Source organism: Homo sapiens, chromosome 5 (assembly GCF_000001405.40).
Source record: "Homo sapiens chromosome 5, GRCh38.p14 Primary Assembly".
Classification (NCBI taxonomy): domain Eukaryota; kingdom Metazoa; phylum Chordata; class Mammalia; order Primates; family Hominidae; genus Homo; species Homo sapiens.
The window spans coordinates 132,175,592-132,198,533 of NC_000005.10; the positions used below are offsets into that span (position 1 = coordinate 132,175,592).

Genomic DNA, 22,942 nt, shown 5'->3' on the forward strand with positions numbered 1-22,942 from the left:
TAATGATATAATACCTTAGAAGGTGTTAAGAACAAAGGAAGGAAACAAGACTATAAACAGGTAATGGGAACTGTGGGTGATGGTGTTGTTTATATATATATTATAATATATATTTAAAATATATTTTTATATTTAATATATTTAATATTAATTATATTAAATATATTTAAAATATATATTAATATATATTAAATATATATTAATATATTAAATATATATTAATATAATTAATATATATTTAATATAATTTAATATAATAAATATATATTATATATTAAATAATATATATTATATATTTAAAATATATATTAATATATATTATATATATTTAAAATATATAATATATATTAAACATATTTAAAATATATATTTAAAAATATAAATTATATATTATATATAATATATATTATATATTATATATAATATATAATATATATAATATATAATATATATATTATATATAATATATATTATATATTATATATTTATATATTTATATATTGTATATTTATATATTGTATATATTTATATATTATATATTTATATATTTTTATATATTATATATATTTATATATATTATATATATTTTTATATATATTTTTATATATTATATATTTATATATATTTTTATATATTTTTATATATTTTATATATTTATATATATTTTTATATATTATATATATTTATATATATTTTTATATATTATATATATTTATATATATTTATATATTATATATATTTTTATATATTTTTATATATTACATATATATTTATATATATTTTTATATATTATATATATTTATATATATATATTTTAGTGCCCAATAGGTAGTTTTATTCCAGTAGTATCCCCTAAGTCAAGGCAATCAAAATTGTCTCCAGACCTTGTCAAATATCTCCTAGGGAAGAGGTCCCCAATGCCCAGGCTGCAAATCAGTACCGGTCAGTGGCCTGTTAGCAACCGGGCTGCACAGCAGGTGAGCAGCAGGCGAGTGAGCATTACTGCCTGAACTCTGCCTCCTGTCAGATCAGCTGCAACATTAACTTCTCATAGCAGCGCAAACTCCACTGTGAACTATGCATGCACATGCGAGGGATGTAGGTTGCATGCTCCTTATGAGAGTGTAATGCCTGATGATCTAAGGTGGAACAGTTTCATTCTGAAAGCATCCCCCACCAACCCCCGTCCATGGAAAAATTGTCTTCCATGAAACTGTCCCTGGTGCCAAAATGTCTGGGGACCACTGCCCTAGGGGACAAAATCTCCCCAGCTGAGAACCACTGCTAAAGACATAGGAGAGTAATGGGAGGGAGGGGGCACTGTAATATTTTATTCTATTTCTGTTTTGCCTAAATTTGCTTAGAGGTAACATGCATGTACATTTTCTTTGTGTAATTAATAATTTTAAAAGTAAGCCTGTTTTCTCATGAGTAAAATGGGAACTATATACCTAAACTCTAAGGTTGCTCTAAAGATTAAGAGCAAAATAGAAACGAGTTACCAATTTCCTGGAACAGTGGGGGAAAAATACCAAGCAAAGTGAAAAAGGAAGTTCACATGAATAGTTATCAAGAACAGTGAAGAAAGAAGAGAGAATCGCCTCCTAGCTGAGGCTAGGAGAATGATCAGTCATTTTTGCCATTTGCAAAGATAAGTAAAACAGAAATAGGAACCATTTAAGGGAAGTATAATGAACCTGGTTAGGGATCTATTAAAATGGAAGAACTTGCGGGCCATCTAAGTAGAGCTGGAGCTGGAAGTTGGAAAGTAATAAAAGCTAGAATTAAAGACTCAAGAGTTATCAATATCAATATACTGATATCAAGTATTTGGAATATCAAGTATTTGGAAGTCATGAGCCTTCAGAGAAAAAAAAAATGGCTATAAAGAAACTCTGAGCCATAACTGAGGATTGGGAAAGGAGGGCCACAGGAGACTACGGTATTGAGAAGTTGTAGGCAGAGATAGAAGAAAAACCAGAAGATAGTTGGATCATGGCAGCCAAGAGAAGGGTTTAAACAAAGTGGATAATGTCTCCTTAGATCTCACCTTTATTAAAAAATAAATATTAACATATCAATACAAGAAGAAAAGAGATGAAATATATTTCATTCAAGAGAGAGTGGGGGTCAATCTCAAAACAGCACTCATGGACCATCAAGGCAATAACTCTGGAACTGAGAAGTCACTGGCCCAACAAATAAAGAAGGCAAGTTCTGCTGGAAGGAAACCCCTGGCACCTCATGCACTTCTACGACTGCCTGATCACTCAGGGCTCCTACAAGGCACCAGGCCTCAAAACCTTATCTGTATTCCCGTCCAGCTGGAGGGGAGCAGATTACACTCTTTTTTTTTCCCCCAAGAGAGTCTCACTCTGTCGCCCAGGCTGGAGTGCAGTAGCGCAACCTTGGCTCACTGCAACCTCCAACTCCTAGGTTCAAGCAATTCTCCTGCCTCAGCCTCTCAAGTCACTGGAATCACAGAAGTGTGCCACCACGCCTGGCTAATTTTTTTGTATTTTTAGTAGAGACGGGATTTCACCATGTTGGTCAGGTTGGTCTCAAACTCCTGGCCTCAAGTGATCCACCCACCTCGGCCTCCCAAAGTACTAGGATTACAGGCGTGAGCTACTGCACCCAGCCAGGTTACACTCTTAATAGCAACAACTTCGTAAATTATCTGAAGCAGGCCCTGGTCTCTGACCAGGCTAAGGCTATTTGGACTGTGAAACATGCAACCCACAGTTAATCAGAAACTCTCTTTGAAATGTTAACAAAAGACCATGAGATGCACAGAGGAAGAAAAGGGAAAAAAAACTATTTTCAGAGGGAGAAACAATCTACAAATTGGGGAATGCAACCTCCCAGGAAAACCAAAAGGACATACTCCAAAAGGGAATAGGAAGCTGGTATTTATGCCTTACAGGGATACTCCAGGGTGTGCGTGGTTTGCTCCTGTCCTCAGCACATTTGATCATGTCACTGCCTGCAATTCTGTCATCTTTGCTCCAAGACAGATAGATTTGGATCCCTTTTTTCCTTTTTCCTCAGCAAGTTCAGAAAAAGAGAAAAGTGTTGCTTGGCTATTTCATTACACACCAAAGTACAAAATGGGGAGGAAGTGTTTCCTGCATACACCATGGGCCCTAAAAAAGAAACTCACCATTGCCCTTCCCTTCCCTCTTCTGTCCCCTGGAGCTTGGCTCCCCTCTCACTTCCTTGGGACCTTGTTATAGTTGACTCCTAAAATTGCCGCCGCCATACACACACGCCCACATGGATCAGGGGAATCTGTGTTTAGAAATCATCATGAGGCTGGGCGCGGTGGCTCACGCCTGTAATCCCAGCACTTTGGGAGGCCGAGGCGGGTGGATCACTTGAGGTCAGGAGCTCAAGACCAGCCTGACCAACATGATGAAACCCTATCTGTACCAAAAATATAAAAATTAGCTGGGTTATATTTAGCAGGCTTAAAGGAATCTGTGAATATTCATGAGGGAAGTCAAGCATGTGTGCAGTGGGTAAACATATATGTAACATGCATTCCATGTTCACTTTGGGGTGGGGTTTTAGCATTAAAGTAAGGTGAATTTGGCTCTTTGCATCAAAAAGGTGAACTACAGGGCACAAAGACAGTTTGTGTACAGTCTCTATAAGCTGGCCAAAACTGGCTGGCTTGAGGTCTATGGCTATTTATCAGGAAAGAAAGTAAGGCCAATTCTCTGTCCCATCAGAATTGTGGCAGGACCATGGTGGGCAGCCAGCAGATCGGTCGGCTGGTGTCAAGTAGTAGTCTATCAGGGTCAACAGGAAATTTCCAGCTGTAGTTTCTGTGATGTTTTTCAGGACCTGGTTTCTGCTTACAGGAAAGAAAACCTTATGGTAGTTAGTAACACAGGGATACATGACCAAGCCCTCATCTTGCTGTGGCCGTTAGATTCTGGTTTTGGTATGTCTCATTTTAGCCACAGGGAGTCTGCTGGGGTATATTTCAACTCTAGGGCTCCAGATTTTTCATTCTATGTTGCTACTGCTAAAGACAATGTTTCCATAAATCAGCCTGATGTGATTAATCAGGGTTAACGTTTGATGACGGCTGGAATACAATGCATTCCCATTGTAAGTTTCCAAATCTGATGCTTATCTGTGAAAACACACTTTTTCATTTTATCATTATCATATCAGGAAGCTCTAACCAAAGCCTCAAATTCTTGAACTACAGAAGGTCTAGGAAGCTTTGAAACAGGCAAAATTTTGTGTGCACTTTTTAAAGGGATAAAGACCCTGAAATTTCATATGGGTCTCAAGAGGGTCTGTCACCCCAAAAGGTTAACAGTCATTGTAATTGTATTTTTCCTACATCAGGCCCTATTTGTGATCATTTGTTGAATAATTTCTGACACCTATTCTAGATGTTGGTCCAGGTGGGTATGTCCTCTAGAAGGCTGGATATAAGGGTCTAAAACAGAGCTCAAGAGAAAGATTTGAGTACAAAAAGACAATTCAATAAATCATAAACATATACATGTTAAAGCAGTGGAAGTAAAGATCCTTCCTCCTATAGCATACAGTACTACCGTGAAAAGGAAACAAACTAGACTAGGGAACATATATATGAGAAGCCTAGGCTGATGAAAAGGAGCCAGGGAGGCCGGAAATAAAGGAGAACTTGAATCACGAAGTGCTTCGCTAGAGGAAAAAAAAAAAACTGTCCGAAGTGTCTACTGGGTTTGGCCACTAGGAGGACCCAGAACACTTTACCAGACAATTCCAGAGAATTAGTTGGGGGAGACTCACTGCGTCAAAAATTTAAGAATGGAAGGTGAGGACAGTAAATCTAGCATAAGCAGCTTGCCTTAAGCTTCTTGAAATCAAAGAAGCAGGCAAGATGACAGCTGTGAGCCCACTGGGTACAAAAGCAGTTTGGGTCATTACTTTAGTGAGGCTCCGTTGGCTGCAAATTTCAAGAGAAAGAGATGGACTTTTCAGAGAAGAGTAAGAGAAGGGAGGACCAAGCTGGGGTGTGGGGAGGGGGCTGATCCTCCATGTTATAAACGCACTTTCAGAAAGACACTGAAAAGTGCCTTAAAAACAAAAAACTTTGAGCTTGCCAAATACCCATGGCCTTTCCTACCACTTATCTTCTCACAACCCCCAAATGCTTTACAAAAAAAAAAAGTTGGCAGAAGGGGTATAGCTCAGTGGTAGAGCATTTGACTGCAGATCAAAAAAAAAAAGTTTCCCCCGAGTTTAGAATAAAGAATCTTCACAAAAGTTAAACCTCTTCAAAGTAGCGTCAGCCTTAGATATTACGTCCAAGACATCATTTGACGCACCCAGACCCCCGCTCAGAGCACATCCTTGACTCACCAGCCTCTCTCTGACTCTGTCCTTGCGGAGGGACCGCCTCACAGGACAGAGCCCCACTGGCCCCAGGAGCCTTGCGAGCTGGTCCTGCGGGGCTGCTCTGCCAGACCAGGTCGGAAAGGAGGGGCCAGCCAGAGCCCTAAGCCAGGGCAGCCACAGACACAGCCTGTAGCCCCACTGCTGTCCGCTGACCCCGCCATTCTCACCACCTGACCTCTAGGAACACGCCCACAGGTCAAAGGCCTTTCCAGAAACCTCTGACCCTGCCAGACCCCGCCCCCAGGTCCTCAGAGGCCACGCCCCTTCCTGTGGCCTCGCACGGCCTCGCCCTTTCCCGAGGCCTGCGCGGGGGAAGGGGTGGTGTCCTTTATCTGGGGGGTGTCCTTTATCTGGGTACTGAGCTCCGAGTGCCATTTCAGTGCCCACTGAGCAAGAGAGGCTGCTCGATGCTTTCCAAAGGCCCATTCTGGGCACTGGGGATAGAGAAGTGGAAAAGCAAAGTTCTTTCCTTCAAGGACCTTCTATACCATGGGGGAGACAGACCACGAACTGATACCCAAATTAAATCTCTTAACGGGTGGTAGTGATGTGGGGCAGGTGAGCCCCAAAGTGGAGCTTAGCCCACGAGAGTTCTTGGCTTTGCCCAGGAAAGAATTCAACGGCAAGCCAGAGGTAGAAGAAAACAGCTTTCTTGAAGAGGCAGAGCAGGGCTACCCCATTGACAGTGGGTAGCAGCTCAGGGCAGTTTTGCAGTCATGTTTATTACTACTTTTAATTACATGTAGATTAAGGGGAGGTTTATGCAGACACTTCCAGAGAAGGAGTAGTAACTTTGGGGTCATTGGGTCATTACCATGGAAAGGGGCCCTAACGCCAGGGTGTTGTCATAGCAACTGCAAACCGACGTAGCACCCTGGTGGGCTGATTGAAAGCTACTTTGGCCCTGGCCCTGTTTTAGCCAGTCCTCAATCTGGTCCGGTGTCCGACGCCTGCGTCTGGAGTCAAGTCCCACCTTTTACCTCAGTGATAAGTGCTCTAAAGAAAAATAAAACAGGGCTGGGCGTGGTAGCTCACGCCTGTAATCCCAGCACTTTGGGAGGCAGAGGCGGGAGGATAACTTGAGGTCAGGGATCGGAAAGCAGCCTGGCCAACATGGTGGAACGCTGTCTCTACTAAAAATACAAAAATTAGTCGGGCGTGGTGGTGCATACCTGTAATCCAAGCTACTCGGGAGGCTAAGGCAGGAGAATCGCTTGAACCCAGGGGACGAAGGTTGCAGTGAGCAGAGATCGCACCATTGCACTCCAGCCTGGGCTACAAAGCAAGACTCCATCTCAAAAAGAAAAAAAAAGAAAAAGAAAAAGAAAAAAGAAAGAAAACAGGCTAAGGAGGAAGAGAATGAGAACGCAAATCCTTCGTAGTAGTCATGAAGGCCTCTTGGAGTGGGCTGCAGTGAGCCGAGACTGCGCCCCTGCACTCCAGCCTGGGCAACAAAGCAAGACTGTCGAAAGAAAGGGAAGGAAGGGAGGGAGGGAGGGAGGGAGGAAGGGAGGAACCTCTTGGGAAGATTGCTTGAGGCCAGGAATTCCAGACTAGCCCGAGCAGCACAGCAGTGAAACAAGAAGAACTCTTTTGGATAAGGTAATCTTTGATCAGTCTTGAAAGGAATGAGGGTAGAAACTACTAGGTATTGGTACCTTCCAGGCAGAAGGACCAACAAGCACGAATGTACTGGGGCCGTCAGTGTGACTGAAGCAGAGGGAGCTGGGGAGAGGGTCATGGCAGTGGGGAATATGCTCGCTCCTCTGCCCTCGGATGGAGTGAGGCTGCTGTGTTCTTCTAGACCTGGTAAGGACTGGACATACCTACAGGCTGGACAGTGTGACACAGAAGCCATATGACTTCCCGTGTGTGCGCTTCAGTCATCCACATAACCAGCAATCAAACAGGCAAGACGGTGTTGGTGCAACAGTTACATTGTACTAAGAAGCAGGCAGCTTTTTCAACCATGTAAGATAATTATTTTTAGAATTACCAGATATTATACAAAATGCCCAGTTAAATTTCAGATAAGCAACAAACTTTTTAGTATGCATATATCCTATGCAAAAATTATGTGTTATTTATCTAAAGTTAAACTGGGTGTTACTTGTATTTTCATTTGCTGAATCTGGCAAATCTAATATTGGAGTCAAAATGCCAAGTTTGGAAACTTAAGAGCAGTGCTGTGCCAAACTATATTGAAGCCTGAGGCAAAATGAAAAACGTATGCTTCTTACGTACGTTTTCGTGTTTTTGTTAATTTTTACACATTAAATTGGTTGACAATATTGAAAGTTGGTATATTAAAACTCATATTAAGTTTAAATATTTTATACCAATGACTTTAATGGAAGTAAACTGATCAATAAAATTGTCAAAATCTACTCTTCTTAAGTGACGATCTTAAATAATGTTCTTTTTTTTAGACGGAGTCTCGCTCTGTCGCCCAGGCTGGAGTGCAGTGGCGCAATCTCGGCTCACTGCAAGCTCCACCTCCCGGGTTCACGCCATTCTCCTGCCTCAGCCTCCCAAGCAGCTGGGACTACAGGCGCCCGCCACTACGCCCGGCTAATTTTTTGTATTTTCAGTAGAGACGGGGTTTCACCGCGTTAGCCAGGATGGTCTCAATCTCCTGACCTCCTGATCCGCCCACCTCACCCTCCCAAAGTGCTGGGATTACAGGCGTGAGCCACCGCGCCTCTTAAATAATTCTTAATTAACTTCAGGATTTTGCAGGATACCATGGTGCATTGGTCTGTTCTTGCATTGCCATAAAGAAATACCTGAAAATGGGTAATTTATAAAGAAAAGAGGTTTATTGGCTCATGGTTCTACAGGCTGTACAGGAAGTGTAGTGGCTTCCATTTCTGGAGAGGCCTCAGGAAACTATGAATCATGGCTAAAGGCAAAGGGGAAGCAAGCACATCTTACATGGCTGGAGAAGGAGCAAGAGCAAGAGAACGAGACAGTGAGAGAGACAGAGAGAGAGAGAGAGAGGAGGTGCTACATTTTCTTTTTGAGACAGGTCTCTGTCACCCAGGCTGGTGTGCAGTGACACAGTCTTGGCTCACTGCAGCCTCCACTTCCCGGGCTCAGGCAATTCTCCAACCTCAGCCTCCTGAGTAGCTGGGACTACAGGAGTGAGCCACTATGCCCAGTTAATTTTTGTAGTTTTTGTAGGGATGAGGTTTCACCATATTGCCTAGGCTGGTCTTGAACTCCTGAGCTCAAAGCAATCCGCCCGCCTCAGCCTCCCAAAGTGTATACACACTTTTAAACAACCGGATCTCACAATAACTCACTATCAAGAGAACAGCACCAAGGGAATGGTGCTAAACCATTCATGAAGGACCGCCTCCATTATATGATCTAATCACCGACTACCAGGCCCATGACCAACACTGAAGATTACAATTTGACATGAGATTTGGTGGGGACACAGATCCAAACTATATCACACTGTGACTGGTATTGTTTTAAAAAAATTATCAGGACCATTTTGAAATTTGGGTAAGGCTGCCCGAAGAAAAATTTGCAAATCCGTTTTAGAGGATACAAACATCATGATTTTATATTACAAATGTGAACAAAAGTTCCCTGGAAGAAAGAGACTTTATTCCAGTGAATAGTTTGCAAACTAGGGAGTCCAACACAGCCTTCAATGTAAAAGGAAGGTGCGGTCCAAAGAACAAAGGAAGGGTTCTAGCTTTATAGCAAAAGTTCCTGCCCTGGTTCCCAATCAGGTGCACTGATACAAATGAGATGGAAACACAGTTCTGATTGGTTGATACAACTGAGCAGCAAGGGAGGTGGGCTCTGATTGGCTGGTTCAGGTGAGCTCTGAAAGTTCCAAAGTTAAAGAGGTGTGGGTTTTCAGGGAACTCAAAATAGGTGTGTGGCCTCTAGTCACCAAATGGCTTCTTGGCTCTGCTTTAAATTTAGGCCCACTCAGCCACTTAAGATCCATCTTGAAGGACTGGCTCTTTCAGGGTCACATTTGTTCATGCAAACTATTGATATTGCATGCTATTTACCACTATTTCAGATGAAATTGCCACAGGATATAAATCATTGGACTATTTAAGAGGTAAGTCAAGGCCATGGCTGCTTTTTGTTAATCAGATGTATTCGTAGAAAATTTCTCCAAGTAAAAATACAAAAATACTTCATTTGATTTTTCATATCTCCATCTCTAGGACATCTGTAATCTCTTTAATTTCTATTCGACGAACACTTTTCCCACAATAATTGATATACTCATTCAGTAATTTGTATATTTCTGATTTTTCTTTAAGTATATTTATATCTCTTTTAAAGTTTTACATTAACGAAACATAACTTTAAGTTACTTTCTCTCATTTGTTATAAGCAAACGAATAGGCCTTTTCTTAAGCATGCAGCTTTGTATATAGTCTTTTTTTTCATAAACCTTTTTCTACTATATTTAGTTCAAAATGCCATGCCACATAGACAAGTTACATGAAAATTTGTAATCTGTTCACACAAAGATGGTTCCTATTTCAGGATATTGTATTTTGTCATTTTATGTTCTTTTAATATTTGACAAACATCTTTGTGTAAAGTACCTTGATCATATTTGACTTTGATGCCTCTCAGGATTTGTTTTTAATGTAGTTTTTAGAACAAGCATAACATTCCACTGCTCAATGAATTCATAAAAGATTATGTATCATTTGTACACACTAAAAAGGTTATATTTTAATTCATAGAAGCAGCATTTTTGCACAGATTATGAACTTATTTGGCATAACCATTTTGGGGGAAAATAATGGCTTTTCCACCCTTATATACACACCTGCTGTATTTGTCCAATTATATCCATGGCCTCAAAGATATTTTATGTCAATATCTTTTTTCAATTTATTAATAATTTCATAAGAGCCTATATCTCTTTTCTCAAAATAAAAAACTTCTAGTGTTATGACATTATTCTTATGCAAACATACTTAATAATCAGATACATTTGTTCATGATGGGCTATATCTGATGTACAAAGAGTAAGGAAAAGTATTTTGCTTTAGTCTCAATAGTATATCAGATCTAACATGATTTCCTAGTAGTTTTATGTGTTCTCCCAAAATTCATATGCTAAAGTCCTAACCCAATATGTGACTGTATTTGGCAACAGGGCATTAAAGACATAATTAAAGTAAAATGAGTTCATATGTGCAGGCTTTAATCCGATATGACATAGACAACACATAGACCAAGAGGTGACATAGACAACACACAGACCAAGCCAGGCAGTGAGGCCTCAGAAGAAACACAACCTGTTGACACCTTGATCCTAGACTTCTAGCCTCTGGAACAGTAAGAAAACAAATTCCTTTTGTTTGATCCACCCAGTGTGTGGTATTTTGTTATTGTAGCCCTATCAAATTATATACATTATAAATTCATTTTGAATTCTATTAGACAAATAAGACACAAATTCCTTTTTATGATTAGCTACATCAACATTATAGTGACTAATTCAACGAAATTAAGAAACATAACATTTGTGTTTTTCACTTTTAGAAGCAACTTACTATGGCTACTAAAATAATGTCCAAAGCATAACTGACCGGCAGTTGGGAGACAAAAGGGTATATGATACTTAATTCTATGTGTCAACTTGGCTAGACAATAGTGATCATTTGTTTGGTAAAATTCTAGTTTAGATCTTCATCTCACCATCTTAGTTTTAACCAAACAAAAAAATTTATGTTGCCAGGCAAACAAGAGAGGACTATACAAAATATAACTATCAAAAAATGGCAAAGGCAGGGGGAGGTACCATGGGAGATAGTGAATATAAACTAAATGATCATCTCTCAAATTTCTGAAGTGGAAAAATCAAGGAACAGCATTTTATAAGCATTTAATAGGCAGAAAAATTTAAAATAATTTGAAAAGGTTCCTCTAGGAAGGGGGACTAGGAGTTGGCAGTAAGGTGGGACAGCAACTATTTAGGGTAATTTCCTTTGTCCCTTATTTTTTAAGCCACGTGCATGTATTTTAAACTAGGATAGCACAGTAAACAAATTCCTGCTCATACTTCAAGACCCAGCTCCAACGGTGCCTACTGTAGTGCCAACTTCTTGGTTAAAGTAGACCTTCACTCTACTGTGCTCCTCAAGCACATTCTCTGTTACCAGACTTCTCACATTTCACACACCTATTTATGAGTCCCTTCCATTGCTCAGAATTCTTTAAAGATAAAGACAGTCTTTATGTTTCCCCATCAAATCTTTAATAACTGTTAAATGCATGAAAATATAAATTTTGTTTTAGAGCAAAGGCTTTTGGAAGCTGCCACAGTTTCATTCCCAGGTCCTCCACTTACCAGCAATGAGACTTCATGTGACCTCAGGTATATTACCTAACCTTTCTGACGTTCTGCTTCTTATGTATTCGTTCTGAAGAGTTGCTGAATGCAGTAATAGACTGTAACATCCCTAGCACAGTACCAAATGCATAATGAAACGCTCAATAACTCTTTACTGCCCTAGTGAACATATTAATGCCAAGCTCAATTAATAAGGATTGCTGAAAGCAGTGCCCTGGCTCTAAGACAGAAGTTATCTCATGCTTGTTCCCAGGACCATGCTGGGATTGATAGGCAGACATCAACATATAATAAGATTCTTTAACGGCTGATTCCATGCTTAATGTCAGAAATGCTCAAGATGAGTGTGAAGCGTCTTGTTATACTAGGTAACAAAAGAAGATATGAAAGATAAGGTTTTCTGTATCAGTATAGGAAAAATGATTTTTTAAAAAATGAATAGGCCACTTCTACTTCCAAGATAGAGTAGCTTATGGTAGACCAATTTTCATTCCTAGAATAAAGCTGAATAAAATCTCTTAAAATTGTTGGAAGACATCAGTCAATTGCTGAAGCAAAAAGAGTTTGAGCATCAAGATCCTGAAGAAGGATAAATCTTGTGGGTGAGCCAAAAGTCTGTAGTCTCTTTTATCCTTAAACAATTTACTGGCCGGGCGTGGTGGCTCATGCCTATAATCCCAGCACTTTGGGAGGCCGAGGCGGACAGATCACGAGGTCAGGAGATTGAGACCATCCTGACTAACACAGTGAACCCCCATCTCTACTAAAAAATACAAAAAATTAGCCGGGCGTGGTGGTGGGCACCTGTAGTCCCGGCTACTCGGGAGGCTGAGGCAGGAGAATGGCGTGAACCCGGGAGGCGGAGCTTGCAGTGAGCCGAGATTGCACCACTGTACTCCAACCTGGGTGACAGAGCCAGACTCCACCTCAAAATAATAATAATAATAATAATAATAATAATTATTATTATTATTATTATTATTTACTGATTGTAGCCATGGGGTAAGAATGAGGATCCAGAGCAATGGGCAACTACTAAGAGGCAGAGAAACCAAAATAATTTTTGACAGTGTCAAGGGGCATTGAAAAACCAAAATTAGCCAGTAGTTTCTCAGAATATTGAATAAGAGGGAGGAGTGGAGAACTTGGCCACTCAGCCTGTTTACCCACTGAGGCATTTTCTGAATTCTGACGCTGTGCAGAATGCAAGGCTAAGAAGGTAAGCAAAAAATATCTGCTTAGATTCAAAAATTCAAATTCTTTGAAAAGGAGGATAAATTTTTTGGGCTGAGTCTGGTACTGAGAAGACAAGAATTAGAGTTGAGGAACTGCCAGTGGAAACAGATCCAGTGAACACACTAGGCTCTCAATTAGAAAATCCTGGAGGACTACATCCTATAAGGGGGGAAATAAGGGTAAACCAGAGATAGAGTCTTAAGAAAACTACCACCCAGTCTTAATTTTAAGTCAGCTCAGATCCTTACTGGATTAAGGTGATTGATCCCCACTCTGCATAGTAGAGGAAAGGGTGAGCCCTTTGTGCAGGAGGTTATCCATCCAGAGGCTCTACAATTTGTCATACACATTCAATCAAAAATTGCCAGGCATATCAACAGAGTGGACCAAATGACCAGAAACTAAGGAGGGAAAAAGACAATAGAAAGAGAGCCATAGAAAATCGAAATCATGGCGTTATCGGACAAAAAAATTCACATAACTGATTTATCAGTCCGAGAAAAACACAGAGAAAACAGAAGACAGATTCTCCAGAGAGTTAAAATCCATTAAAAGGACATGAATGGGCCAACCGTGGTGGCTCACGCCTGTAATCCCAACATTTTGGGAGGCTGAGGCAGGTGGATCACTTGAGGTCAGGAGTTTGCGACCAGCCTGGCCAACATGACAAAACCCCATCTCTACTAAAAATACAAAAATTAGCTGGGTGTGGTGGTGCGTGCCTCTAATCCCAACTACTTGGGAGGCTGAGGTGGGAAAATTGCTTTAATCTGGGAGACAGAGGGTGCAGTGAGCTGAGATCCCGCCACTGCACTCGAGCCTGGGTGACAGAGAAAGACTCCGTCTCAAGGAAAAAAAAAAAAAAAAAAGACATGAATGGATATTTTAGAACTGAGAAATATAAGAAAAATGAAATTAAGAACTCAGTAGATGGGTTTAGCAGCAAAAGTAATAAATGAATTGCAAGACAGATCAGTATAAAATATCTAGTCTGAAACACAAAGAAAAAAGCATGAGAGACACAAGAACTGGAGATATATAGAGCACTATGAAAAGTTCTAACATTCAGATTACTGAAGTCTCAGAGCAGATAGAGAAAAAATGGGACAGAAACAATAGTTGAAGATATAATGTCTGAGAAATTTCCAAAATTGATCAGACATCAACCCAGAAATTCAAGAAGCTAAATGCCAAGCAAGAAAAGAAAAAGAAACCCATACTAAGTACACCATAGTAAAACTACTGAAAACCAAAAAGAAAAAAATCTTTAAAGCAGCCAGGTGAAGGCAAAATCACCTTCAAAGGAACAACAAAGGACCAGATAGCGACTTTTCAACAGAAATGGTATAAGCCAGAAAACAAAGAATTACATCTTTAAAGTCCTTAAACAGACTCCTGTATGCACTTGATAGAAGACAGAATTAGTGAACTTTGTACAAAACAGCTATAAAGTTCTCCCCAAATATAGCATATATATAAAAATATGAAAGACAGATTAAGAGATAATATCATGATATGATCCAACTTACATTTAATCAGTTACAGAAGAAACAGACAATGCTGAAAGAAAAAATCATTTAATTTTCCACAATTGATTAAGGATACCATTGTACAAATTCAAGAATCCAAAAAAGTCTCAAACAGGAAAAGAAAAAACCTACAAACAAACCACCTAGTGTGCCAGTCACGTTTCTATTCTCAGCTGCAAGCTCATCCTTGTAGTCTCTACTGTTCTACTGTAGCTGCCACTCTGTAAACTACATTTCCCAGATTCCCTTATCAGCTGGCTTCCTGTTAGGGTCTACCAATGGAAGCCACTAGAGGGAGATTAGACGGCAGTAGATAGCAATTGCCCTAGACCCAGTGGTTTTTTGCATGAGACAATTTTATATATTAAGCCCCTGAGATTTAAGGATTATTACTACAGAAAAAGCCCATCCTATCCTAATAAAATATGCAAAAAATTAAAAGTAGAACTTTACACTTCATACCACGTATAAAGATAAACCTAAATGACAAAGACTATATAGCTTTCAGAAGAGAACACAGGAAACATCCTCATGATCTTGGGGTATAGAAGGATTTCTCAAATAAGACATAAAAAACATAAATCAAAAAGAAAAAGCTTGATAGATTTGACATAAAAATTAAAAGCTCCTGTTTATCAAAAGACAGAACTAAAATAGTGAAAAGACAAGCCACAGAAGATATTTGCAAAATATATAACAAAGAACTTGTGTACATATTTTAAAATTTGTATGAATAAGAACACTTGAAGAAACCTAATAACTAATAAACATGAAAAGTTGTTCAACATTATCAGTAATGTTCAAATAGACACTATACATGTACTGTCTTAGGTAGAGCTGCTATAATAAAATACCATACATTGAATTAAAAACATTTATTTCTCATGGTTATGGGAACTGGAAAGTCCGAGATCAAGATGCTAGTAGGTTTGTTTCTGGTAAGGGCCCCCTGGTTCATAGACAGGCATCTTCTTGCTGTGTGTTCGCATGGCAGAAAGAGGGCTGGGATCTCTTCATAAGGGCACTAATCCCACTCACGTGGGCTCCATGCTTACGACCTCCCAAGGGCTCCGCATCCTAATATCATCACATTGGGGGTTAAGATTTCAACATATGGGCCGGGCGCGGTGGCTCACGCCTGTAATCCCAGCACTTTGGGAGGCCGAGGCGGGCGGATCACGAGGTCAGGAGATCGAGACCATCCCGGCTAAAACGGTGAAACCCCGTCTCTACTAAAAATACAAAAAATTAGCCGGGCGTAGTGGCGGGCGCCTGTAGTCCCAGCTACTTGGGAGGCTGAGGCAGGAGAATGGCGTGAACCCGGGAGGCGGAGCTTGCAGTGAGCCGAGATCCCGCCACTGCACTCCAGCCTGGGCGACAGAGCGAGACTCCGTCTCAAAAAAAAAAAAAAAAAAAAAGATTTCAACATATGAATCTGGTGGGGGGACACAAACATTTAGTCCGTAACATGTACCAAGCTAGCTAAAATTCAAAAGTATGAAAATACTAAATACTGGAAAAGATTGGGGTAATAACTCTCATTTACTCCTGGTGAGAATGTGTATAACCACCTTGGAATACATTATTTAGTAAAGTTGGAACACCATTAAGACTCCACATTTCCACTCCTAGATATATATCCTACAGAAATATGTGTTTATATGTGCACCAGGAATCATGTATAAAAATGTTTATCACAGCATTATTCACAATATACAAAGACTGAAATCAATTCCAGTGTTTATCAGCAGCATGCTGCCTGTATTATGGTACAGTCCTACAATAAGCATTAACAAAACTGAATGTACTATAAAGATTAAAACAAATTACAGCTACACAAGCAACACGGATGAATCTTAAAACAATGTTGAACAAAAGAAGCCACATACCCAAAAATATTTACTCTCATTCTATTAGTAAAAGTTCAAAATCAGGGAAAACAGAATAACTACTTATTTAGGGATCTAATCATAGATGGTAAAACTATAAAGACAAGCAAAGGAATGAGTACCACACATCATGAGACAATGATTTATCTCCAAAGTGCTGGGGGCAGTGAAGGAGATGTGATCTAGGAGGGGTTCCCAAGGGGCTCCTGAGGTACTGACTTGAAAACGTTCTCTTTTCTAACTTGGTGTTGACACAGGTGCTCCTGCTCACCTTCATATTTTTTTAAGTATACATCTGTGTATCATGAACAATTCTTATCTCAAAATTTAAAAATGAAGTACACATTATAACAGCATTACAATCATGAACACATGTGCTATGTTCTCTGGGAGACAAAGAGAAACTATTTACCCTACTTTCCAGAAAAGGACACTGACACTTAGAGGGAACACAAGTGTTGAAACCAGGTCTGAAATCCAAGACCCAAGATGCTTTTTTGCTGCTAAAGCATTCATTATCCAGACTCTGCCTGCATGAAGGTGATGCATAGGAAATGATGAACCTGGTAAAAGCTTCCAGTCTTAAAAATACTCCAAGTAAGGCTCTTTAAGGCTTCTGGTAGGGACATTTTATTTTTTGGTAAAGCCACAATAGATAGAAATGCCATAAAAACAAACATGTAAACAAGGTATCAGAACTTTGGTTCACTGAAACATCTCACACCTAAAACACCTGAGGTACAAAGGCACCTTGCTAGGCGCTAGACAGCTAACTCTGCTGCAGCCACTTTGATCCTAGCCTTGGGGCCAGGGATGGCACAGGCTGAATGGAAGGGCTGGGACTTCAGTCACACAGGAGTCGCCCTAGTATGGTCTCCCTCTGCTCCAGACAAACATTCATTTCTCCAAAAATCAGCCTGATAGGAACATACAAAGGAACATACAAAGGTGTCTGTCACGTTGACATGGGCTGAAGGACCAGGAAGGGGAAGGACAGAAAAGGATGTCAGTCAACTTCTGTTGATCCACAAGGTCTCAAGAACTCCTGTCCTCGTTCATGGAACCACTTATTGGAGACTGTGAAAAGAAAGCAAGCATGTTACAATCCTATTGGTCAGTTTAGTAGCCTGAATGAATGACTCCTTCATGATGACCCCCTGCACTGTGCCCTGGAATCAGACACAAATAAGACAAGACATGATCTCAGGCCTCAATTTGCTGAAGAATTGGTAAGGAAGACACATGTAAACAGATAATTGTATGAAATTCTGCCAGTGGGACAAGATACATGTGTGCAGGTTGCCATGGGAATAGCACCCAAGGGCATCTAATCATGCCCTTTCATGCCCATGACCTTTGATGCCCTTTGGCTCTATTCCCATGGCAACCTGCACACATGTTTCTTGCTCTTAGAGGGAAGAGGAAATCCTAGGGCTAGAATATAAAGCTACATAGAAGTTATCCTGGGAAGAAGATGGGCATACCCAGATGGTTCTCTCACCAAGAGGGTCCCAGGAGTGACAACAGGATGAGAAAGTAATCAAGGCAGAAGCCACCCTGACGTGTGTTGGGGACTCAAGAGGCCTAATATTACTGGGAGGTGGCAGGTAGAAACTGAGAGGTAGGGTGTGAGGATGAGGAAGACTGTCAGCATTGCAGAGGGCTTGGACATTAACCTCAGGAGCCGTGGACCAGCAGATCCAGTCTGTATGCCATGGGCACAAGAGCAACAGAGCTGCTGCCAGCACTATCACCCCACGCCATATCTTCAAACACACAGGAACCATGATTCTGTTCCTCACAGACTCTCTCATAATGAATAAAAATTTTATTTCAATGCACTACTGAAGTCACAGAGCTTTTAAAATATAAAGTAATAACATGTACTTCATTGAAAAAAATAAAATTGTCGCAAGGCTTATAATGATAAATAGCACTCCTCCTAAGCCTCTCCTTCCCATCCCTAATCTCCACTCCCAGGGAACATTAAACTCCTCTAGCTGTTTCTTCTGATATTTAACCTCATTTTTCTAGATAAGATGCTTATAGTTCTATTCCTTGACTTTCAACTTTGGAATTCTTTTATTCTACCCCTAAAACACAAACTCATCCCCTCCCACCTTTCCAGTACAGGTAAATCATAAGTTTTAGTTAAAGTAATACTCAGTGTGTACATAATTATATCATGTGTTACACCTGAGCCATCTAGTAGATTATACTTACATTTCCTTTCTTGTACAACTTTTTTTCCCCTGAATTCAGCAACTGCCTTGTTTTCTTTTCCATTTGCTTAATTATCTGCAAACCTATCACTATTTATCTTCAAAACTCTCCAAGGGGGCTACACACTCATCTCCTTACAAACACTTCCTGTCATATCCTGGTTTGAGCCTCTCCGAGGCTCACCACAACTGCTCCCAGGATAAGGCTCAAGCTTGAGCCTCTGCAGTTTGGTCCCAGCCTCCAGCCTCATCTTCTGGCCCCTGTGCCACAGGCCTCCCTTTCTTCAAGTGACAAGGGAGCCAGCCCCCACACCCGTATGCTGGTTTTAGCCTGTGCCTCCATCCATATGGGCCTTGTTTGCCTGAGACACTCTTTCCCCTCACTGCTTCCAGCTCTCCACTCTGCTCCCTCAGAAGCCTTGCCAGAGGGTCCTGGACCTATGGTGCTTATGCAGCTATTCGTCCTCAGGCCTTCTTCAGCTTCCTGTGTATCTCTGAGTGTTTCCAACCAGCTGCCTTGGCATTTACCAGCTGCATGGACATTACATGGCTGGATGGTAATAACAGCAGAAAAAAACCTAAGAAGGGAGACAGTCTCAGCAAATTTGGCAGCAGTTGCCTCCCAGCTCAGAATCTAAGGCCAATAAGCAAAGCCCAAGCTGAGGCCACCAACACCAACACTACCCCTTAAGACACTCACCCCACTTGCAGCCCACAAGCACAGGGCAGGCAGCATGTCTTGTTCGGTAGTCACCTTCCCCGCTCCGCAAGAGGTTGTACCAGAACACAGCTGTACCCTGGGAAAGAGATGGCCTTTCAGAACACATTCTTAAGAGACTGTGCTCAGGGACCTGACTGCAAGCATCACAGAAGCTCTGCCCTGAGCAGAAACACCCTCATTTTCCCATGGACAGGGGATAGGGCTCTGGGACTCCAGCAACAGAGACATTTCCCAGAAAGCACCTACCTTTCTGAGGTAGAAGTCTGGGAACTCACCCGCCCCTGAAGGGACTTCCCTCCCTGTCCTTTCTTCACAGGGAGAAGCTGGGCTACCAGGTCAGACCCCAGGTGGGCTAAGGCACATCACAGTGACAATCAGGCAGGCCAGGTAATGGTACTGGGGGACATGGACAAAGTAAAGTCTGAGCCTTGCTTCAACCTCTGACCCACAAGAATCAGAACTTACCTTCTTAGGCCAAATTGCAGCCCCCAGATCAGGGAAGACGGTGGCACCACCAGCTTCTACATCACTCATCTGGAAATATAAGACATAGAGCTTGACCCTCCTACCCAAGGCTCTCAGAGCAATTGAGCCACAAAGGACATGACAAGGTATATAGATTGCCCTCCTCTCAGCATGAGTGACACTACTTGGTGTCTGCTCCATGGCCAGCCCTTTAGCCAAGAAAGGCTCTTCCCATGCCTACTTAACCAGTGTGATTCATTAGAACAGTCTCCATGTCATGAGTGTTCAAGAGTTGAGGCCCACAGGAGACCCACATCCGGGCTGTCCCTGGATGAAAATAATCTGAGTCTGTACTCAGAAAATGCCTGTTCTGACCCCACCCTTTGAATCCCCATCTAGCCTTGGCCTTGCCTAAGCCACTGTACTCTGCAAAGTGCCCTGACCAGGAGCTCTGTACTGTTTCCAACACCATGTGCAGTCCCCACTGCAGCTCTGTTTCTCTGGCTCTAGTAGTTTGCTGCTCTAGTCAGACCTTCACCTTCCCAGAGTAGCCACCCTTCCTGGGGCCAACTGAGTGGAAGGGTGGGGCACTGTGTCTCTAGAGGCCCTGCTTTCTCCTATGGTAAGGCCTTAAACTACATTGAACACAAGTTCCACACTAGCAAGGCTGTACTCATGCCCACAGAGCATGCCTTGACTCATGGCCAAAGCACTACTTCTTTCCCATCTGGCTCTCTTACTTTTTTTGTCCATAATTTAATAAAAATTGGAGGTAAAAAATATTTCCACAGGACACATACCAGACTCACTGAAGGGTACTTGACAGACATATGGTAAATGAATAAGACAAAAGCTCTGATGGCTTCTCACAGCCCTGTGGATCAAACTCAGATTCTTTTCTAGAACCCCAAGGCCCTGTCAGTCTCACTAGCCTCTCTCCAGACACACCAGCCTTTTTCTACCTTTCCAACATCCCAAGTTCCTTTTCTCTTACAGGACTACATACACTCTCTCTTCTGCCAGAAACCATGTTCTACCAGCTAATTTCCACTCAACTTTTAAGTCTCAACTGATATGTTACTTCCAAAGAGAGGCCTCCACTGAACCCCAAGCCTGGGGTTCACAGCACCTGTCTCCATAACTACATAATAATCTCTCTGATGTTTAGGCTGGGCATGGTGGCTCACGCCTGTAATGCCAGCACTTTGGGAGGCCAAGGCGGGTGGATCACTTGAGGTCAGGAGCTTGAGACCAGTCTGGCCAAGATGGTGAAACCTCATCTCTACTAAAAATACAAAAATTAGCTGGGCATGGTGGTGCACGCCTATAATCCCAGCTACTTGGGAGGCTGAGGCAGGAGAATCGCTTGAACCTGGGAGGCAGAGTTTGCAGTAAGCTGAGATAGCGCCACTGCACTCCAGCCTGGGCAACAGAGGGAGAGTCTGTCTCAAAAAAAAAAAAAAAAAAAGATAAAGAAGAATCTCTCTGATGTTTAAAATAAGTCTCTCATATTGGACCTCAAGCACAAGAGAGACCACATATGTTCTGCTCACCAGCATGTACACAGCACAATCCCCAGCATGTAATAACCACACAATAAAAGCATAAAGGGAAAAAATGGACACAGGCTTCTGTCTCCAAGTTACTTTACTGCCTCTATGCCTCTTTAGAGCTGGCTCTCAGCAGAGGGGAGAGGAAACTGCTCCTCATGTGAAAGATAAACCCTACAACCTATGGATAAAACAGAGGCAAGAGGTGGGAATCAGGCCATTAAGCCTTGGAGAACACAAAGGCAGCTCTCATCTAGAGAGAGCTAAGGCTATCTCCTCACTCTGATGCCAAGGAGGGAACCCTCCAGGGCACCCATCCCAAAAGTCCAGACTAGCACTGGGCCCATCAAAAAGGAACCAGAATGGCAGGGCGCAGTGGCTCACGCCTGTAATCCCAGCACTTTGGGAGGCCGAGGGGGGCGGATCACCTGAGGTCGGGAGTTTGAGACCAGCCTGGCCAACATGGTGAAACCCTATCTCTACTAAAAATACAAAAATTAGCCAGGCGTTGTGGCTAGCGCCTATAATCCCAGCTGCTTGGAAGGCTGAGGTATGAGAATCACTCGAACCTGGGAGGCTGAGGTTGCAGTGAGCCGAGATCCCACCACTGCACTCCAGTCTGGGTGACAGAGCAAGACTCCATCTCCAAAAAAAAAAAAAAAAAAAAAAAGAAGAAGAAGAAGCCAGAATATGCTACAACATGGATAAACCTTGAGGACATTATGCACCAGCCACACAAAAAGACAAGTGTTAATACTTTGATTCCATTTATTTAAGTAACCAAAATCACAGCGACAGAAAGCAGAATGGTGGCTGCCAGGAGCTGCAGGAGGGGAATCTGGAATTATTGCTTAATGGGTAGAGTTTCAGTTTTAGATGATGAAAATAGATGGAAATGAATGGTGGTGATGCTTGCGCACTATGAATGTATTTAATACCACTGAACCGTACATTTAAAAAATGGTTAAGATGGTAAGTTTTATGTTATGTCTGTTTTATCACAATTTTAAACACTGGGGAAAAAAATAGGAGCCAGGAATGTTAAAGTCCTGCTGGTGGCAGTGGGGAAAATGAATAGAAACAGAGGCCAACTCTCCCTACTGCAGCCAAGAAGGGTGCTGAGAGCCAGAAGGACCTGACCATTACTTAACAGCAGATGAGATCAGCCCTGATGGGGGTGGGATATAAGGCAGCCCTCTGGACCCAGGGTCCCCTTAGGGCTCATCAGCACACATCATACTCACGTAGTTTAAGAAAGTAGCCACACGATTCCCCGTCCCTAAATGCTTGAAAGTATCTCGCTCATCATTCTACAAAATTAAGTGAGAATGAACAGGTGGGCCTGGACCCAGTACTTACGTAGTTAAGAAACGTCGCTAACCTATTCCCCTCTGTTTTGAGGCCGCTGTCAAAAGGTCGCTGCAACAGACAACAACTTTCACCCAAGTTTACAACAGGCTTCATCCACCACCCACAAGACTAGGACCAAAAGGGTCAGGGAAAAGTAATAAGTGTGTGTTCCATAAATCAGCCTGGAATATGTGCCAAAGCTGCAAAGTAAATTCTGGCTAG

General features: G+C 41.6%; 1 protein-coding gene and 1 long non-coding RNA gene across 10 annotated transcripts in view, besides 5 other annotated features; one reads left to right on the plus strand and one right to left on the minus strand.

The window, feature by feature from the left end:
• Positions 904-983: an enhancer, noted in NCBI's record as "active region_23061". NCBI's record gives its function as "activates an Ori minimal core promoter by ATAC-STARR-seq in GM12878 lymphoblastoid cells {active_cell/tissue: GM12878}" and the evidence as "EXISTENCE:reporter gene assay evidence [ECO:0000049][PMID:35858748]".
• Positions 1,644-1,703: an enhancer, noted in NCBI's record as "active region_23062". NCBI's record gives its function as "activates an Ori minimal core promoter by ATAC-STARR-seq in GM12878 lymphoblastoid cells {active_cell/tissue: GM12878}" and the evidence as "EXISTENCE:reporter gene assay evidence [ECO:0000049][PMID:35858748]".
• Positions 6,077-6,604: an enhancer, noted in NCBI's record as "H3K27ac-H3K4me1 hESC enhancer chr5:131517361-131517888 (GRCh37/hg19 assembly coordinates)". NCBI's record gives its function as "activates a minimal SCP1, AML or CMV promoter by ChIP-STARR-seq in naive H9 embryonic stem cells {active_cell/tissue: H9 hESC(naive)}" and the evidence as "EXISTENCE:reporter gene assay evidence [ECO:0000049][PMID:30033119]".
• Positions 8,947-9,448: an enhancer, noted in NCBI's record as "NANOG hESC enhancer chr5:131520231-131520732 (GRCh37/hg19 assembly coordinates)". NCBI's record gives its function as "activates a minimal SCP1, AML or CMV promoter by ChIP-STARR-seq in primed H9 embryonic stem cells {active_cell/tissue: H9 hESC(primed)}" and the evidence as "EXISTENCE:reporter gene assay evidence [ECO:0000049][PMID:30033119]".
• Positions 9,285-17,214, plus strand: P4HA2-AS1 (P4HA2 antisense RNA 1). The gene is made up of 3 exons (NR_047470.1): positions 9,285-9,496; positions 11,704-11,782; positions 16,670-17,214. It is a non-coding gene; the product is annotated as a P4HA2 antisense RNA 1 (long non-coding RNA).
• The window catches only part of P4HA2 (prolyl 4-hydroxylase subunit alpha 2), a 37,707-nt gene continuing 29,320 nt past the window's right edge, over positions 14,556-22,942 (minus strand). For 6 of the 9 annotated variants that reach the window (NM_001365681.2, NM_001017974.2, NM_001142598.2 and 3 more), the window contains 4 exons: positions 22,730-22,789; positions 19,821-19,889; positions 19,335-19,431; positions 14,556-17,489 (listed from right to left, as the gene is read on the minus strand). In NM_001365681.2, the coding sequence (NP_001352610.1) occupies positions 17,419-17,489; positions 19,335-19,431; positions 19,821-19,889; positions 22,730-22,789 (297 nt within the window). In that variant the 3' untranslated portion in view covers positions 14,556-17,418. Of the gene's footprint in view, positions 17,490-19,334; positions 19,432-19,820; positions 19,890-22,614; positions 22,681-22,729; positions 22,790-22,942 lie in introns of all 9 variants that reach the window. The other 3 variants (NM_001365677.2, NM_001142599.2, NM_004199.3) reach the window with 1 other exon arrangement.
• Positions 14,645-14,939: an enhancer, noted in NCBI's record as "tiled region #7421; HepG2 Activating DNase unmatched - State 12:CtcfO, and K562 Activating DNase unmatched - State 12:CtcfO". NCBI's record gives its function as "activates a minimal TATA promoter and a strong SV40 promoter by Sharpr-MPRA in HepG2 and K562 cells {active_cell/tissue: HepG2 | K562}" and the evidence as "EXISTENCE:reporter gene assay evidence [ECO:0000049][PMID:27701403]".